Genomic DNA, 19,335 nt, shown 5'->3' on the forward strand with positions numbered 1-19,335 from the left:
ACCCCATCCCCACTCCTAGAAGCTGATAAGGGCCTCATGATCTCTCTGTCTCATCATCTACCACTCTCCCTAGCTGTCAGTCTACCCCTGCCACTCTAATTCCCTGATGTTTCTTCAACATTGCCAGGAACCTGCTTACCTCAGAGCCTGCTGCGGACTGAGTTGTCTTCTCCAAAATCCATTTGTGGAGGCCCTCATCCCCAGTGGGAGAGTATTTGGAGATGAAGCATTTGGAGGTGATTAAGCTTAGATGAGCTCAGAGTGGAGCCTCAGGATGGCATCGATGCCCTGGTAAAGAGGGACACTGAGACCTGGCCCTCCCTTGCTCTCCACCGTGTGAGGACACAATGAGATGGTGGCCACCTACAAGCCAGGAACTGAACCCTACGGGGCCTTGACACTGGCCGTTCCAGCCTCCAGAATGGCTAGGAATAAATGTCTGCTCTTTAAGTCACTGGGCGGTGGAGCTTTGTTATGGCAGCACCAGGGGCTGGTTGAGAGCCTTTGCATGGCTCTTGTTCCACCTGGAATGAGATTTCTAACTCTTGGCTACCTCACCCCCTTACCTCATTGTTTCATGTTGCAACCACCCACCCACTCCCCATGTCTCTGGCATTCTCATTTATTTTTTCTTTGATTTCATAGAACACATCACAAAGCCATTTGCTCATGCATGATGTTTATTGTCTATTTTCTATCTCCCTGCTAGAGGGTAAGATGCTCAAGAACACTGCTCTGTCTGCCTCCCTGGACCCAGAAAATGCTTGGCGTGTGGTAGAACTTAGATATATTTGTGTTGAATAAATTAATTGAAGGGGTTTGCAGACTATTCAGTACAATCGATTATAAAAACCCGAACCAGCCCCATCATTGCTAAACTTTAATGAGGCAAGTAGGATATCATTTTTAGTGGGAAAAATCAGGTTCATTCAAAGTGTTGGGGAATCCAGTGCTATCAAACTTCTCAACAGCAACCTTGAAAGCTAGGAGATAGATAATGCCTTCAAATTTCTAGAGGAAAATATCTCTCACGTAGCATTTTCTTTTCTTTCTTTCTTTCTTTTTTTTTTTTGATGGAGTCTCGCTCTGTCACCCAGGCTGGAGTGTAGTGGTGGGATCTCGGCTCACTGCAAGCTCTGCCTCCCAGGTTCACCCCATTCTCCTGCCTCAGCCTCCAGAGTAGCTGGGACCACAGGCACCCACCACTACGCATGGCTAATTTTTTGTATTTTTAGTAGAGATGGGATTTCACCATGTTAGCCAGGATGGTCTCGATCTCCTGACCTCGTGATCCGCCCTCCTCGGCCTCCCAAAGTGCTGGGATTACAGGCGTGAGCCACCGCACCTGGCCTCACATAGCATTTTCTACTCAGCCCAACTTTCATTCACATAGGAGGGAAGAATAAAGGCATTTTCTTACATGCAGACTCTAAGCAGATATTACTCATTTGCCTTTTTTGGGGACAGTCCTGTAGCATGTGATTCAACAAAACACATCCATAAACCAAGTAGCTCCAAGAAACAGTGACTACACCCAGGAAGGAAAGGAAGAGGCTGTCCAGGATGGTGATGATGAACATCCAAGAAAGCAATTATCAGACAAAGGGACATACATTGACAGGGGCGTGTGCATCGGCAGGGGAGTTGCAGGATATACCAGTCCTAAGCACATTAAAATCTCAAAAAAAAAAAAAATATATTTCAACAAGATGATTATCCCTGAAGAAAACAAAGTTCATTAAAGGAGATGTAATTATAGTGCATTAAACGTTCTAGCCAAGAGCACTATTTACATAATGATGATGATATAAATATGTAATCATCATCCACCACAACTATGTTGGGGAAAGGTGAAGCCAGTGTGAGTGTGTGAATGCCTGTGAGAGAATGTGAGTGAATGTGTGTGTGCTAGTGTGTCAAGTGTGTGCCATTGTGTATGAGTGTGTGTGAATGTGTGTGAGAGTGTGTGTATGGGAGTGTGCATGTGATGAGCCACATCCATAAGCTGAATCATCTTCAAAAGATGAGACCTAAACCTAACAATTCAAGTAACAGGATGAAAGTATGTGACTTGAAAATATGGAGTTAAATATCAAAAAAAGGTCCTTGCATCTGGGAAGCAAGAATCAAAGGTGGATGAGAAGGGGCACAAACTGCTGTTTTAAATTTTAAGCACTGTAGCATCCTTGTTTTTAAACAACCATTTACATGTATACGTGTGTGTGTGTGTGTGTGTGTGTGTGTGTGTGTGTGTGTGTATCTTAGACAAAATTAAGACTTTTTTTCTGCTTTGTTTCCCCCCCCCCAGCTTTTCTCAAGAGATCCACAATCCGGAGGGAAGACCCACAGGCTTCCCAGCATTCACACAGCATCATTCCCTTTGCCTCCAGTCCCTCCTGATAGTGCATGACCCCACTGGCCGTCCGGATGGATAGGCCTGGGACTCTGTTATTCCAAACCCACCCAACCTCACACATCCTTTCCCTACATCTCTGCATGTCTCATTCTTTCTTGTCTTTCAAATTCAGGGCACACCTCCGTCTGCTCCCTCATAGAAAGGCCATCTCTCTCTCTGTCTCTTAACCTCTCTCTCTCTCTCAACCTCTCTCTCTCTTTCTCTCTCTGTCTTCCTTAAACTGTTATTGTGCTTGCTCCATGTCTTCTATGGTCTTTGCCATTTTCTAATTGCAGTTATAACCATTTGTGGCTGTGTCTTATTCACTCCTCGTTAAGTTCTTCAAAGTCAGTTTGAAATTCTAGAATATACTACATGGAGGAACACTATTCTATTAGTACTTTTTAAGACCCACTCTTTTTTAATGTCTCTTTTTTAAAACTTTTATTCTCATTATAATATATCCTTATCTCTGTTTTGTTTGGGATTATTCTTCTGTACCTCTTATAACTACTTAACTGGGCACTTAGATCATTAGTGTATAGGCTCCTTATTTCCAGATTGTAGGTTTGAAGCTTAAATTTTTCTCTCAAAACTGCTTTTTCTAGATTATGTTAATATTTGGTGTAGTATTTTTATCATTTACTTTGAAATGTTTTAATTTCCCTGATGAGTTCTTATTGACTTGTAGCTATTATTAATACACATATTTTAAAATGTGTGAATATTGTTACAAACTTAAAATATTAATGTGCTTTGAAAAATGATCCTCGTGATAGCATCTCACTGCGATTTCCCAGACCTAGCACATGGCCTACCTTGGTCTATGCCCCACATGAGTTTGTTTTCTCTAATAAGTGGGTACATTGATCTGGTAAATGAATCACACTTTAATTGCATTTTTATATATATATATTTTTATTATACTTTAAGTTCTAGGGTACATTATTTCAACAGTTGATACTTTCTTTATTTGGTTTGTTGACAATCGAGAGAAGAATGTTAAAAACTCACACTTTGATTATATATATATTAATTTCTCCCTGTAGTTTTGAAATTTTTTGCTCTATCAATTTTAGGTGTGTTTTATTAAGTGCAAATGAGCTTAGAAATGTGATATCATTATCATAAGTAATAACTTCAATCATTTTGTATAAATTGTTATCCTTGACAATTATTTTGACTCAATATAGACATACTTTCTGCATTTTTGTAGAGCTATCTCCTCTTCTTTTTGGTTCCTATTGCCTGCTGTGTTTTTTCCCATCTGTTTTGTTAATAGTTATCTAAAGCTGCATAACAGATATCCTAAAATTATGTGGCTTTAGAACAACCTACCCCTTGTTGTCCTACAGTTTCTTTGGGTTAGGAATCTGGGAGTGGCTTAGTTGGGTACCTCTGGTTAGCAGTGTCTTACGAGGCTGAACTGAAAGTAGTGGATGTGGCTGTGGTCTCATCTGAAGGCATGACTGAAGGAGGACTTGGTTCCAAACTCACTCACCTGGTTGCTGAAAGAACTCAGCATCTTACAAGCTGCTCACTAGGGACTTCTCTCAGATCATTGACCCATGGGATTCTTTTCAGAACAGCTTATAAAATGGCATCTGGCTTCAATCAGATGAACACTGAGGAAGCAGAGAGTGAGCAAGCTGGGAACCTAATCTCAGAAGCAGCATCCCTCCAACTTTGCTGTATTCTGTGCACTAAAATCAAGTCTCTAGGACCAGCCCACAAACAAGGAGAGGAGAGTGTGAAGATTGTGGGGACCATTGGAAGTCCCCTGAGATGTTGCCTACACACAGTCTCTTCACTCTCAAACTTTCCATCTCTGTATATTTTTGGCAGGTCTCTTATATTCATATCCAAACTATGACATCTGTCTGTTAACCTTTTCTTTTTTTTTTTTTGAGATAGGGTCTCACTCTGCCACCAAGGCTAGAGCACAGTAGTGCAATCATGAGTCACTGCAGCCTCCACCTCCTGCTCAAGCAATTCTCCCACCTCAGTCTCACAAAATATTGGGATTACAGGCATGAGCCACTGTGCCCAGCCTCTATTAACTTTTGAGTTTTATGATTTTTCATTTATTTTCATTACTGAAAACTTTGAATTTTTACCTTATTCTATATACAAATATATAAAATAATATTTATAAATAACACACATATATACATAATATATACTATATATAAATAATATATACAATAATATATCATATACAAGTAAATAATATATAAATAATATATAACACAAATAATATATAACATATATAAATAACTATGTATAATATATTAAAATATATAATACACAAATAACATATATATATGTAATATATATATATTTCTCCCTTGTCTTACTGACATAACCCCAAGGTAAGAAAGCAAATGTGATTTATTCATCTTTTTTTATTGATATCAAGGGAAAAAATTTTATCCAGGCCAGGAGTGGCATGTAGGAATTAAATCTCTGCTGGTTTGCTCAACTAAGTTCTTACATCTAGACCAGCAGCAACAACCAGTGTTTGGTCCTTACGCATGCTTCTGGCTTCTGGTCACACGGGTAGTTAAACCCGCAGATGAGGCAAAGCATCCCCTCTGTACCTCCCCAGCCTCAGCTGATGGTACTAAGTTTCTGCAGCCCTTCATGCTTAGGGCATTACTTTCGTTTTACTATTTTCCTTGTGGAAGGAAACAGTTCAAGAGTTACACTTGGCTTTTTCTGCCATAAGGACTTCACCTCCTGGGTCAGAAAAACAATTGTGTGATTGTGCCACTTGCTATGAATGTCTATTGCAACTCTATACTCAGGAACTGGATAAAGAACCACAGGATGCTCTTGCTGGCCTGTTAGACCCAGAGTGAGACTAATTCAAATCAAGTTTCATGCATCATCTGACCCCCATAAACCCCGACACAGACGGGTTGGCAACTGTGGTGTTTGGGGTCTCCAGGGATTAGCATCATCAGCTCAATAGTGTCCAGTAATCCCAGAGGTTGGAGTATGTCTCTTTCTGAACAGTCACCCTGGTAAATGACCACATTTCCCTCTGGGAGAGGTTTGGAAGAAAATTTAAAGCATACATGTGTAACTACCTTGCAAGGTGATTCTCCAGAGGGACTGAACCTTCCCCCGAAAATGATCTGAAGCGTGTAAAGTGGCATAAATTACAGGGAACTTGTAATCAAATAGCCACTACCACAGTTCCCTGCAGATCAAACACTGGAAACAGCTCTGTGATCTCCTTACTCTTTTTTTTTTGAGATGAAGTTTCGCTCTTGTCACCCAGGCTGGAGTGCAATGGCGCCATCTCAGCTCACCACAACCTCTGCCTCCCGGGTTCAAGCAATTCTCCTGCCTCAGCCTCCTGAGTAGCTGGATTACTGGCATGTGCCACCACACCCAGCAAATTTTGTATTTTTAGTAGAGGTGGGGTTTCTCCATGTTGGTCAGGCTGGTCTCCGGCTCCTGACCACAGGTGATCTGCCCGCCTCGGCCTCCCAAAGTGCTGGGATTACAGGTGTGAACCACTGAGCCTGGCCTCCTTATTCTTAATGACCACTTGGAATCCAATGACAGAATCTGCCACCACAACTTCCAGCCTCCAGGGGACGGACACCCACTTTCAAGGATTTCTTCCCAGGTATTCCAGGATTTATTATTATTATTATTATTTTATTTTATACCATGTTCTTGCACTGTTACCCAAGCTACAGTGCAATTGTATGATCTCAGCTCACTGCAACCTCTGCCTCCCGGGCTCAAGCAATTCTGCCTCAGCCTCCCGAGTAGCTGGGACTACTGGCACATACATGCACTGCGTCTGGCTAATTTTTGTACTTTTCGTAGAGACGGGGTTTCACCGTGTTGCCCAGGCTGGTCTTGAACTCCTGAGCTCAAGTGATCTGCCTGCCTCAGCCTCCCAAAGTGCTAGGATTACAGTGAGCCACTGGGCCCTGCCTCCCCAGGGTTTCTTAATGCCTTGGTGAAGAAAGTGCTCTCTGCACCTCTTAGTCGTATGGTTTAGAGGTAGCTGAGCACGTTGCAAATAAGGAAGTTGCTCAGTTCTTTTGAGCCACCCAAATACAACAATCCTTTCGAGCCTTCAGACTAGGGTAACCAACTGTCCTGGTTTACCTGGAACTGAGGAGTTTCCCAGGATGCAGGACTCTCAGTTTTATAACCAGGGACATTTCAGGCACACTGGCTCGAGTCAGCTACCTCACTTCAGAATTCTGACTCTAAAATACAGCGGGAGAGATTCTGTGTCTCAACTTCAATGCACGTTCGTCACAGCTGAGCCCAGACAGAACAAGGGATCAGGACTTTTCACAGCTGCTCTAGTGAAGACTTCTAGGTCCTTTTCAATACCTACGGTCTGATCCAATTTAAATTTCATCCATTTTGGTCAAGCATGCTCAGAATCCATCCTTAAGCCAGCTCTCAGGTCCTTGCTGATCCAAATTGATGACAGCTTGCAATTCCTTTGCTATGTAGGCTACCTCCTCACAGAACAGACCTCACGGGTCTCCCTCTCCGCTGAGCTAGGACTTTCCTACACTATGAGGTGCCATGGGCCTTCGCTTATGAGGAAACCCAGGTGACGTTACTGGAAGCTCTTCATGCAGCAGGATATTAATTTATCAGAAACAGTAGGAGGGGTGGCCTCCACCAGCAAGAGATCTTCATGGGAATTTGGAGAGTCAAGGCTCCCAGCTCCCCTTTAGGCTTTAATCTTAATATGGAGACTAGCACAATTTGGAGATTTAAGTCCCTTATTCTTATTTAAATCCCGTTCTTGTTCTAATCTCTCCAGGGACATGACCCTATGCCAGCCCACACCACAGTCTTGGTCATCACTCCTGTTTCCATGGTGTTAACAGCAGCAGTTACTTGGTTACGGAGAGCTTTTCCTTACGCCAGCACCCTATCCATATCGCTTGGACAGTACGTACACAATGGTGATGTTATTGCTCGTCATGTATTACTAGTAAGAGCTTTGTCCCAGCAAGGAAGCCACCCATGCATCCACCAAACATGAGAAACTCAATCCCCAAATCTCGTTTTGAAGTTCTGGTTCCTAGTCCATTCCTAGTAGCCACAATGAGATCAGTCAGGGTCTTAGGAGGAAAAAACATTCACACAGATGTTTTAAATGAAGGGACCTTAATGACTAAACTACTAACAGACCTGTTGGCATATTAAGGAAAGAAATGAGAGAGATGGGGAAACTAAGGACTGGTAACAGCTGGAAGGCTTTGCCACCCTAAGAATCAAACAGGGAAGGGAAAGATGCAGCGTTACCAGGTCCTGTGTGAGCTGGCATGAAGCCCGGGAGGTACCACCATGGAGGCATGGGGCTTCCTGAGAAGTGGTGAGGAAGAATGGATGGAGCAGGGAAGCAAGACCCCTTCCACCCACCGGCCCCCTGCTGCTGACCTCTTGGCCAAATGGGACAGAAGCCAGCTTGCAGGGGCTGCTATTCCGCCTGTGGGTATCAGGGCAGAAAGTGGGCAGTTTCAGGGCAGGTGGGGTCAGTCAACAATTCAGTTCATCTTTTTCAGTTTTCTTTCTGGATGATTTTCAGATGCTGTCTTGTGGTGTTGGGACTGCAGTTTCATGAAAATATGTCTAGGTGTAGAGTTTGTTTTATTCTGCTTAGATATAGAGTGCTTCCTATGTTGGTGGATCCATCTTTTTTGACATTATGGAAATTGTCTCTTTAAGTGTGTCTACTGCTGTATTCTTTTTTTTTTTTGTAGGAAAGCAAATATATGCGACTTTTTCATTCTGTTATCTAGAGGCAGTTTTGAATGGTGATTAAAAGCATGATTTCTGAAGAAGACTGCCTGGGTTTAAATCTTATTCCCCAAAGTTCCTAGCTGTGTGACCTTAGGCAAGTTACTTAAAATCTCCGTCCCTCTGTAATCTCACCATGTAAATGAGGGTGACATTAGCACGGTGCAGGTTTGACGTGAGGATTGAATGGATGAATGTCAGGAAAGATCCAGGACATAATGGAAAAACTTATGTCTTACCTATTGTTGTTATTGCTTGATATTAATGTTGTCTTCTTTATTATAGTAAGAATGCAACATAAGGCAGGGTGCGGTGGTTCACGCCTGTAATTCCAGCACTTTGGGAGGCCAAGGTGGGCGGATCATCTGAGGTTGGGAGTTTGAGACCAGCCTGACCAACATGCAGAAAACTCGTCTCTATTAAAAATACAAAATTAGCTGGGCGTGGTGGCGCATGCCTGTAATCCCAGCTGCTTGGGAGGCTGAGGCAGGAGAATCGCTTGAACCCAGGAGGCAGAGGTTGCAGTGAGCTGAGATCACGCCATTGCACTCTAGCCTGGGCAACAGAGCAAGACTCCTTCTCAAAAAAATAAAAATAAAATAAAAAAATTAGCTGGGCGTGGTGGTGGGCACTTGTAATTCCAGCTGCTTGGGAGGCTGAGGCAGGAGAATAGCTTGAACCTGGGAGGCGGAGGTTGCAGTGAGCCGAGATCATGCCATTGCACTCCAGCCTGGGAGACAGAGCAAGACTCCGTCTCAAACAAACAAACAAACGAACAAATAAACAAACAAAAAAACACAATGTGAGAGCTACCTTCAACATATTTTTTAGGGCTCAATACTGTATTGTGAACTATAGGCACAAAGTGTTGTACAATAAGAGCTCTGGGGCTTGTTCATCCTATAGAACAGAAGCTTTACACTTGTTGAACAGCAACTCCCATCTCCTCCTTCCAGCCCTTGGCAACCACGTTCTACTCCTCGTTTCTACGAGTTTGGCTATTTTAATACCTCATCTAAGTGGAATTGTGCTGCATTTGTCCTTCTGTGACCGGCTCACCTCACGTAGCGTGCTGTTCTCCAGGTTCATCCATGTTATCCTGTTCAGCAGGATTTCCTTCTCTTCTGAAGCTGAATCATAATCCATCGCTAACGTTATCTTGTAACTCTTCTATTAAACTCTCTATCTCCTTATCTCTCGAAGCTGCATTGAGTTATTTCTTCAGATACATCTTCTAGGTTCATATTTATTTTTCCTTTTTTAAAAGCAATTTCTAATTTGTTTTAACCATATGCATTAACTTTTTAACTTAAACATTGTTTTTTATGTATAAAGGTTATTTTTAGAAAATGTTTGTTAATTTTGTTTATAAACTTAAATTTAGTAAATTGCTGGCTGGGCACAGTGGCTCATGCCTGGCATCCCAGCACTTTGGGAGGCCAGGGCAGGCAGATCACTTGAGGCCAGGAGTTTGAGACCAGTCTGACCAACATGGTGAAACCCCTTCTCTACTGAAAATACAAAAATTAGCTGGGTGTGGTGGTGGGCACCTGTAATCCTAGCTCAGGAGGCTGAGGCAGGAGGATCACTTCAACCTGGGAGGTGGAGGTTGCAGTGAGCCAAGATCGTGCCATTGTACTCCAGCCTGGGTGACAGAGCAAGACTCTGTCTCAGAAAAAAAAAAAAAAGAAACAGAATATTGCTGACACCGTAAAAGCCTCCTAACTGCCCTCCTTGTCAATAATCCCCTGAGAATAAAAAGAGATGAGTCTCCAACTTCAGGAAAGGAAATAGAAGGCTGGCATTCTTTGGCCCTAATTACAAGCTGTAAACTAGTAAACAAAGACCTAGTTTAAAGTGGCCCCAATAAACTAGCAACACTCTAGGTACAAAAGTCCACCAATCCCTAAACTCCACACTTTCCTAAAATACTTAAGTGATAGGAGCTTTCTGTTTTGCTTGATAAAGCTGTTTTTTGGAATCTGGCTTCCAACATCAGCATGCACCTGCGATCATATCTGCGATTCATGCGCGTTGTATCAGGGTTCTCCAGAGAGACGGCACCTATAGGATAGATAGTTAGATATATAGATGATTGATAGGTAAATAGATAGATAGATAGATAGATAGATAGGGAGAGAGTTATTAGGGGAATAGGCTCACATGATTATAGTGGCTGAGAAATCCCATGAAAGGCCATCTGCAATTTGGAGAAGCAAAGAAGCTGGGAGTGTGGCTCAGTCCAAGTGCAAAAACTTCAGAACCAGCAAAGCCAGTGGTGTAACTCTCAGTCCAAGGATGAAGGTCTGAGGACCCAGAGGACTGCTCTTGCAAATTGTGGAGTCCAAAGGCCAGAGAACCTGGAGTTCTAATGCCCAAGGGCAGGAGAGCCAGTGTGCCCCATCTCCAGGAGAGAGGGAGCAAGTAAGCAAACTCTTTCTTCCTCTGCCTTTTTGTCCTGTTCAGGCCCTCAGCCAGTTTAATCGTGCTTGCCACACTGGGTGACAGAGGATGTTCCTTACTCAGTCCACAGATTCAGATGCCAGTCTCTTCCAGAAACACCTTCACTGACACACCGAGAGCTGATGCTTTACCACTATCTGGGCACCCCTTAGTTCAGTCAAGTTGATCCCTAAAATTACCCATCACCCATGTTGATGCTATAATGGGAGTTCATTGCTATAGTAGGAATAGTGCAAGGATTCAGCACGATTCATGAACCCATTACACTGTTGATGATAGGCATTTTGGTGCTTGCTAGTTTTGGACTATGACATCTAAAGCTTCCGGGAACACGCTTATGCATGTCTTGTGGATAGTATATGTAAATATTTGGGCATGTATCTAGGAACAAAATTGGTAGGTACAAAGTTATGGGCATGTTGAGACATATCACATATTGCTACATGGTTTTCCTAAGGAATTGCTCAAACATCAATTTACATCATTAAGTATCAGAGTTCAATCACTCCATATCATTCCAATGTTGGGTACTATTGCTTTTTTTTTTTTTTTTTTAATTTAAGCCAGTTTAGTGGAAGCAGAGTGGCATCTCCTTCTGGTTTAATTTGCATTTTCCTGGAGACAACTTTTTTCCTTTTAGCCATTCGGGGATCCTCTGTTGAGAAGGGCCTATTCAAGTCTTTTGTTCGTTTTTCTCCGGGTGGGGTCTCTCTTTCTCATTATTTTGTAGAATTCCTGTTACATTTTAGTTATCTTTTAAAATATATTCAAATATACTTAATATATTTGAATTAGTACATTATCAATCAATTATTAATTAAAATAAGTTAAATATATTTAATTAAATATATTAAAATATATTCTCTCATAATATGGCATGGATTTTTGTTTTTAATTTTATTAAGCCCTTCTTTTCAAATGGTGTAATTCACAGATATTGAATATATGCTTTGTTCTTTAAGTTTTGACAAACACATGTACCAGCATGGCCTGTACCTCTATCAAGATACAAAGCAATCCCATCACACTGAAGGTTATGTTTTAGCCCTGTCCTGTCACTGCCTGCACTGCCCCTACTGAGGCCATTACTGCCTGGATTTCTAGCAGCATAGATGAGTTTTTCCTGCTCTAGAAATTCATATGAACAGACTCTTACAATAGATATAATTTTGTGAGTGGCTTCTTTCCCTCTGCGTGCTTTTGAGCTCCATCGTGCTGTCCAATATATTAGTAGTGTTATGCTTCTTGTTGCTGTGTGACTTTCCATTATATGGAAATACCGCAATTTGTTCATCCATTGTCTTGTTGATGGATATCTGTGTGGCTTCCAGTTTTGGACTACAGTGTTTAAAGCTACCAGTAACATTCATGTAAAAGATGTTTTATAGAAATATATTTTCATTACCTCTCTAAATAAAACCAGTCAGTAGCTAGGTGGCTATATGTTTAACTATTTTAAAAAGTTTGCAAGCCACTTTACAAAGGGGTAGTTCTATTGTGTATTCTCACTAGAAATATATGAGCAATATTTTTGTTTGAAATCTTTGCAAATATTTGTTGTTGTCAGTATTTTTCATTTGAGCCAGAATTTTTATTAAGAGATAGAATCTTGCTACATTGCCCAGGCTGAAGTGGAGTGGCTCTTCAGAGGTTCGATCATAGTGCACTATGGTCTCAAACTCATGGGCTCAAGCGATCAATCCACCTGCCTTAACCTCCTAAGTAGCTGGGACTACAGGTGCACATCAGTGTGCCTGGCTTAATTTTAGCCATTCTTATGGGTGTGAAGTGGTTCCCACTTGGTATTAAATTGCAGTATATATATATATATATACACACACACACACACACATATATATATAAATATATATAATGTGTAAATTATATATTTATACACAATACAAATATATATATTTGTGTATTCTTTTTTAGATACATGTATCACAGATATTTTCTCCTACTCTATTGTTTCATTTCTAAATTTTAGTAGTATTTTTAAGAAGCAGAGTTTTTTACTTGATGAAATCTTTAAGAAAGTTTAAAGTTATTGCTGTTTATCTTCTCTAGAAAATCATTGCCTATCCAAGATCTAGAAAATTTATACATTTAGCTTTTCTCAATTTCTACAAAACCTTTAAGGTTTGATTAAGATTGCATTGAATCTATTCATTAATTTGGGGGATACCGACATATATGAATATTTAATTTCCTAATCCATGAAGAACATGTATGGTTCTTCATCATTACACCTTTTGAAATTAATCTCAATAATGTTTTATAGTTTTCAGTATAGTGATTTTGCAGATATTTCTGGTTTATTTATTTCTAGATATATTTTATGCTATTAAAATGTAAATATTTTATGTCATTTTCCATTTTCTTGCTGCTGCTCTAAGGATATGTAATTGACTTTTGCATATTGGCCTTGTTTTCTGCATCCTTGCTGAAATAACTTATCAGTGTTATATTTTTGTTCTGATAGATTTCTTGCTTTTCACATAACAATTATGTCTGAAAATGAAGAACGTTTTGGTTTTCCTTTCAAATAATTAAGAGTTTATTTCTTATCCTTGCCTTATTATACTGGATAGAACCTTCTGCACACTATTCAATGTAATGGTAAGAGTAGAGTAGACATCCCTGCTTTGTTGCAAACGTCAGGAAAAAAGTGTGCAATATTTAACCATTAAGTATGATGTTAGCTCTAGGTAATGTTTGTAGATACTCATTAACAGATTGAGTCACTTTCCTGCAAGTAGTGGTTGGCTGAGAGTTTTCAATATGAATGGATATTGAATTTGGCCAAATACTTTATCTACATCTATTGAGATTATCATAAAATGTTCTTTGTTCTTTTAATGTTAATCAATTAATGTCTTAATGTTAAGCCAACCTTGCATTCCTGTGATAAGCCTCACTTGCTTATAGTATATTTCATATTTATATATTGCTAGGTTCACTTTGCTAATAATTTATTAAGGATGATTGTTTTATTTATGTTTCTGAAGAACATTGTTTCTGAAGAATAATTTTCTGCTTTTGTTTTGTAATGTCTGTCAACTTTACTAAGTCATATTTTCCAAGGTATTTGTCTCTTTGATTTCAGTTGTCATTGGTGTAAAGTGTTGGCCATAAATTGTTTATAACATTTTAATATCTGTAGGACATGTAGCAACATCTATTTTTTTATTCTTTACATTGATATAATTTGTGTTTTCTTTTTTATTGATCAGTCTTGCTAGATGTTTTAAAATTTTAGCTTCTTAAGGCATCATTTAGATAATAAAATTTAAAATCTTTCTTGTTTTTAATATGAACATTTAAAACTCTAAATTTTCCAAAGGCACTGTATTTGTCTGCATTTTGCGAACTTTTGATTTGTTGCATTTTCATTATGACTAAGTTTTAAAATATTTTCTAATGGCCCTTGTAACTTCTTTTTCACTCACGTTTTATTTAGATGTTCAGAGAATAGAAGATCAGTATATGAAAATCAATCATATTTTTACTGACAGCAACAAATAATCAAAAAATGAAATTAACCAAAAAATTTCATTCACAATAACACCAAAGGAAACAGTTAAAAATAAATTTAACCAAATGATATATAACTTGTACAATGAAATGTATAACACATTGCTGAAAGAAATAAAATACCTAAATAAATTGAGAGCTATTTCATGTCTATGGATCTGAAGATTCAATATTGTCACAATGAAAGTTCTCCTCAAATCCATTCATAAATTTCACAGAATTCCTCCCAAATCCCAAGTCAGGTTTTTGTGTAGAAATGGACAAGCAGATCCTAAAATATACATAGGAATAGAACAAAAAGAGAGACGAGGGTATACATGACTATATTTCAAAACAGTATAAAGCTACAACGATTGAGACGATGTGGTTTTGCTTTAAAGAAAGGTATACAGGTAATGGAACAAAATTTAGGGTCAAGCAATCTAGCCTTACATTTGTGATCAACTGATTTTTGACAAAGATGTCAAGGTGATTCAATGGAAGAAAGAATAGTCTTTTCAACAGATTGTGCTGGGACAATTGGATATGCACATGCCTAAAATAAATTAACGTAGACCCTCATCTCAGCCCATACAGAAATTAACTTAAAATGCATTATAGTCTAAACTGTGTAACCTATAGCTAAAAATCATCTAGGAAAAACACAGGTGTAATACCTTGTAACCTTGAGTTGGGCAAAGAGTTCTTTGATATGACAGCAAAGGCATGATCCATAGAAGAAGAAGAAAAGGTAAATTGGACTTCATCAAATTAAAGACTTTGGCACTTTGAAAGCCTGTTGAGAAAATAAAAATACCAGCCACAGACTGTGAAAAAATATTTGCAAATCATATATCTGTTAAAGGAGTTGTGTCTGGAACTCCTACAACTCAGTAATAAGAAGATTAATAACCCAATTACACAGTGGACAAAAGCTTTAACTAGATACTCACCAAGGAAGATACGCATACGGCCAAAAGCACATGGAAACATGTTCAACATCATTAGTCATTAGGAGAATGCAAGTTAAAATCGAAATGAGATGCTACTTCCTGCCTATTGAAGGTCATGAAGGCTGACAGTACCAAGGGCGGCTGAGGATGTGAGAAGCTCGGCTCCTCCTAGACCGTCCACGGGAAAACAACACAGGATGCCCACTTTGGAAAGGAGCTAGGCACTTCTTTAAAAAGTTCAATATACATCCCAGCAATTCCACTCCTCAGAAGCTACCCAAGAGAAGTGAAAACATATGTCCATGCAAAAATATGTACACACATGATGAAGCAGCATTATTTATAAGAACCCCTAAGAGGAAACACTTTAAATGTCCATCAGCTGGTGAATGTATAAATAAAATGTATCCATGCAAAGGAATATTATTCAATGATTAAAGGAACAAACTGCTGATATGTGCTCCAAGATGGATGAATCGCAGAAACATTATTCCAAGTGAAGGAAGCTAGACACAACAGATTATCTATTGCATAACTCCTTTTATATGAAACATCCAGAATAAGCAAATGTATGGAGACAGAAAGCAGATGGCTGTTTGCCAAAGGCAGGTGGTGGGAGTGGGGATTAACAATGAATAGCCATGAGGAAAATTTGAGGGCTTTAATGAGTGTTTTAATGTGGGTTGCGTTAATGTTTGCACAATTCTATAAATTAACAAAAAGAGGAATGCATTGTTACATTTGCAAAAACTTGGGGATTTTTAGGAAAGATTTTTGTTGCTATTGAATTGTAATTTAATTGTCTTACAGTCAGATAACATACAATATAGGATTTTTATGTTATAAAATTTATCGAGACATTTTCCAGCCTACCCAATGACCTTTGCTGGTGGCGATTTCATGCACACCTGAAAAGAGTATGTATTGTGCCTGGCAGTGTTTTCTATAAATGCCAATCAGATAAACTCTGTGGATAGTGCTCTTCAAAGTTTCTATATCCTTACTGTGTTTTGAAAATGTATTTTAATTTGTTTTTGTTATGTGTTCTATCAGTGACTGAGAGATGGGCTTCAAAATTTCCAATCCCAAGTGTGGGTTTTTCTATTTGCTTCTGTCAGTTTGGGCTTCTTGTATTTTTTGGGACTGTTATTAACAGCACTCATGTATTAATGTTATCTCTTTGTGGCACACTACCTATTTTACCATGATTACACTCCCTTTTTAATCTCTAATTATAATCCTGGTCTTGGATTGTACATTGTCTTACATTATTATGACTATACCAGAAGTCTAATGTTTGTTGTTTTCGTGATATATGTTTCCCCACTATTTTACTTTCAAATTATCTGTCTTTATGCTTACAATGTTTCTCTTGTAAATAGCACATAGTTGAATCTTGCTTTTTATGCATTCTGATATTCTGTCTTTCAATTATTGTATTTTATTTATATTTCATGTAATTATTGATATATAATTTATCAAGCATATTCTTTTTGCGATTTGTTCAATCTGGTTTTTGTTTCTTTATTTTTTTTCCTGTCTTCCTCAATCAAATATATTTTAGAATTTTATTTTATTTTCTCTATTGACATTTTAGTTTGACTTTTGTGTTTGCATGTGTTTAAGTGCCTGGGGGTTCCAATATGCATCCTTAATTTATCACAGTCTCTGAGAGTGAGTATTAAACTATTTCACTATTTGTTATAAAACTGAAGAATGGGACAGTATATTCTTCTGTTGAAGTCTCTTCCTGTCCTCGGCCACACGCTTTCCGTCTGCACACACAGCACAATATACTTCCAAGGCTACTTCTTTCAACGCTCACTCACCTGATGCTCCGTAATTCTGTCTGTACATCTGAGTGTTCCTCCCATATTCCTTCTTCAGTTTAAAGAATTTTCTTACAGCATTATTTCAGTTTTGGTTCATTGGTGACTAATTGTTTCACCTTTCTTTTATTAAATATAATCTTTATTTCACATACGTTGAAGTATGTTTTCCTGGTTATATAATTCTAACTTAAGACTTCCTCTTATTTTCCCCTCAGCATTTCAGTTTTTTATTTTTGTTTATTTATTTATTTTGAAACGGAGTCTTGCTCTGTCGCCCAGGCTGGAGGGCAGTGGCACGATCTTGGCTCGCTGCAATCTCCGCCTCCCGGGTTTAAGCCATTCTCCTGCCTCAGCCTCCTGAGTAGCTGGGACTACAGGCATGTGCCACCATGCCTGGCTAATTTTTGTCTTTTTAGTAGAGATGGGGTTTCACCAAGTTGGCCAGGCTGGTCTCGAATGCCTGACCTCGTGATCCTCCTGCCTCAGCCTCCCAAAGTGCTGGGTTTATAGGCATGAGCCACCATGCCCAGCCCTCTACCAGCATTTTAAAAACACTGCCAATCTTCACCTGCTCTCCAGCATTTCTCATGAGAGGTCATAGTGTGATTCCTTTCTATGTGACCAATCTACTGTTTTTTCTCCAGTTACTTTGAAGATTTTCTCTTTCTCTTAAACTTTGATTTTTTATCCACGTTTGTGATGTACGTAAATAGAGTTCTCTCTGAATTTATCCTTTGTGGGATTCGTTGATCTTCTTGAATTTAATTTCCATTAAATTCAGAAAAAATCTGGTGATTTTTTTTTCAGATATTTGTTTGTACTCCATTTTCTCTTTTCTGTCCTCATGAGACTTCAAATATATGAATGATCACTTCATATTATATCATGGGTTTCTCAGGCTCTGTTCACTATTTTTATAATCTTTATCATTGTTATTCTTCAAGTTAGATAATTTCTGTTGATTTGCCTTCAAATTCGCACTTCCTTCTGCAATATACTATCTCTCTCTCTTAATCCCTTCTATTAAGTTTTTTAAAAAAGTGATTTTCAGTTATAGAATTTCCTGGTTACTTTTACAGGATCTGTTTCTCTGCCGAGATCACTGTTCACTCATCATGACCATTTCTCACATTAAATCCCTGCGCCTATTGAAAATAGCCACGCCGGAGCCTATGTAGACGGTTGCTGTCTTCATATCTAAATTCCTCAGCATTAGTTCCTCTTGATGGCTTTTTCTTTGCCGAAGGGTAATTCTTGTCATGACTAAGACTATTTTTATTGTACTGTGGACACTGCGGTGACATATTTTAGGAGGAGGAGATTGTGCCCTTTCAAGAAGTTTCCGTGTTTTGTTTTTGTTTTTCTAGAAGGCAGATCAGTTGTAGGTATTAAGCTTTCTTTGATTTTGTTACAGTAATTAAACTTCGGCATGGTCCTTCATCCCAGCGTGTGGTTCTCACGCTAAGGTGTGGTCCTTACTGTTTGAGCTAAAGTCTCTCTGGGTTCTCAGCTGAATGCCCGAGATGTTCAAGTGAGGTTTCTACACTGGCTGCGGCAGGCCCTGAGCTTTCCAGCAGTCGGGCCCTGAAATCTCAGGTTCCCTCCCAGCCCCAGCAGCAGCTGTCTCTGAGTCCTGCACATCTCACTCCAGGCGTGTGCCGCCCAGCCTTGCTCTCTGCTGTCTTCCGCATTTAGGCTCTGCTCTGCCTGGGCACCTCTCCCCAGACCTCGGGCAGAAAGCTGGGTCCACAGCCGACTCCAGGCTCCCACTGGCTTTTCTCCAGAATCATGGTTCTGCTGTGCCTTCAGTCCCGGGTCTGGAACCTGGTTCGTAGTTACAGGGTGAAAGGGCAACTCCTTCACCAGTTACTCTAGGATGGCCAGGAGCAAAAGTGTGTGTATTGATTCCTAACTTCCTCGCTGGTACCTTTTGAAGGAAAGAAGCTGAGCTTTTAGAAATGTAGTTGGGTTAATCTTTTTTCGTTTATGTAGAAGCCCTCGTTTGCCATCCCCAACATCTAAATGCCTCAGCGTCAGTTTCTCCTGATAGCTTTTTCTATTGCTCAAGGGTCATATTTTCCTGTTTCTTAGCATAGTTAATTATACTTTTTTTTTTTTTTTGCTAGTAATATTTTCATTCTACTCTGGACATTGTGATGATACGTTCTAGGAAGAGTTATCATATTTTTGTCCCATTTAAACAATATGCTTGTCTGAAATTCAGAAAGACATGGTCTTATGTTTTTTTCTAGAAGCCTTTTTAAAAATTTTAAACTTCAGAAGTCTGTGATGCATCTGAAAATATTTGTTGGACAGGAGAGGGGTCAGGTTCATTGCTGTTTCCCACTGCCCCCCCACCCCCTCTAGATCTCCAGCTGGTCCA

General features: G+C 39.5%; 1 long non-coding RNA gene across 1 annotated transcript in view, besides 2 other annotated features; it reads left to right on the forward strand.

Annotated features, from left to right (window-relative positions):
* EPIC1 (epigenetically induced MYC interacting lncRNA 1) overlaps positions 1 to 817 on the forward strand; it is a 223,927-nt gene extending 223,110 nt beyond the window's left edge. Inside the window, exon 9 of the long non-coding RNA NR_122046.1 lies at positions 128 to 817. This is a non-coding gene — a long non-coding RNA (epigenetically induced MYC interacting lncRNA 1). The remainder of the gene's footprint in view (positions 1 to 127) is intronic.
* Positions 9,688 to 9,860: a silencer, noted in NCBI's record as "fragment chr22:48260220-48260392 (GRCh37/hg19 assembly coordinates)". NCBI's record gives its function as "represses an EF-1alpha promoter that drives an FKBP-Casp9 reporter gene in an ReSE screen in K562 erythroleukemia cells {active_cell/tissue: K562}" and the evidence as "EXISTENCE:reporter gene assay evidence [ECO:0000049][PMID:32094911]".
* Positions 17,776 to 18,975: an enhancer, noted in NCBI's record as "MED14-independent group 3 enhancer chr22:48268308-48269507 (GRCh37/hg19 assembly coordinates)". NCBI's record gives its function as "activates an origin of replication core promoter dependent on BRD2, BRD4, P300/CBP and CDK7 cofactors, and independent of MED14, by STARR-seq in HCT116 cells {active_cell/tissue: HCT116}" and the evidence as "EXISTENCE:reporter gene assay evidence [ECO:0000049][PMID:35650434]".

This window comes from Homo sapiens, chromosome 22 (genome assembly GCF_000001405.40).
Source record: "Homo sapiens chromosome 22, GRCh38.p14 Primary Assembly".
Taxonomy (NCBI): domain Eukaryota; kingdom Metazoa; phylum Chordata; class Mammalia; order Primates; family Hominidae; genus Homo; species Homo sapiens.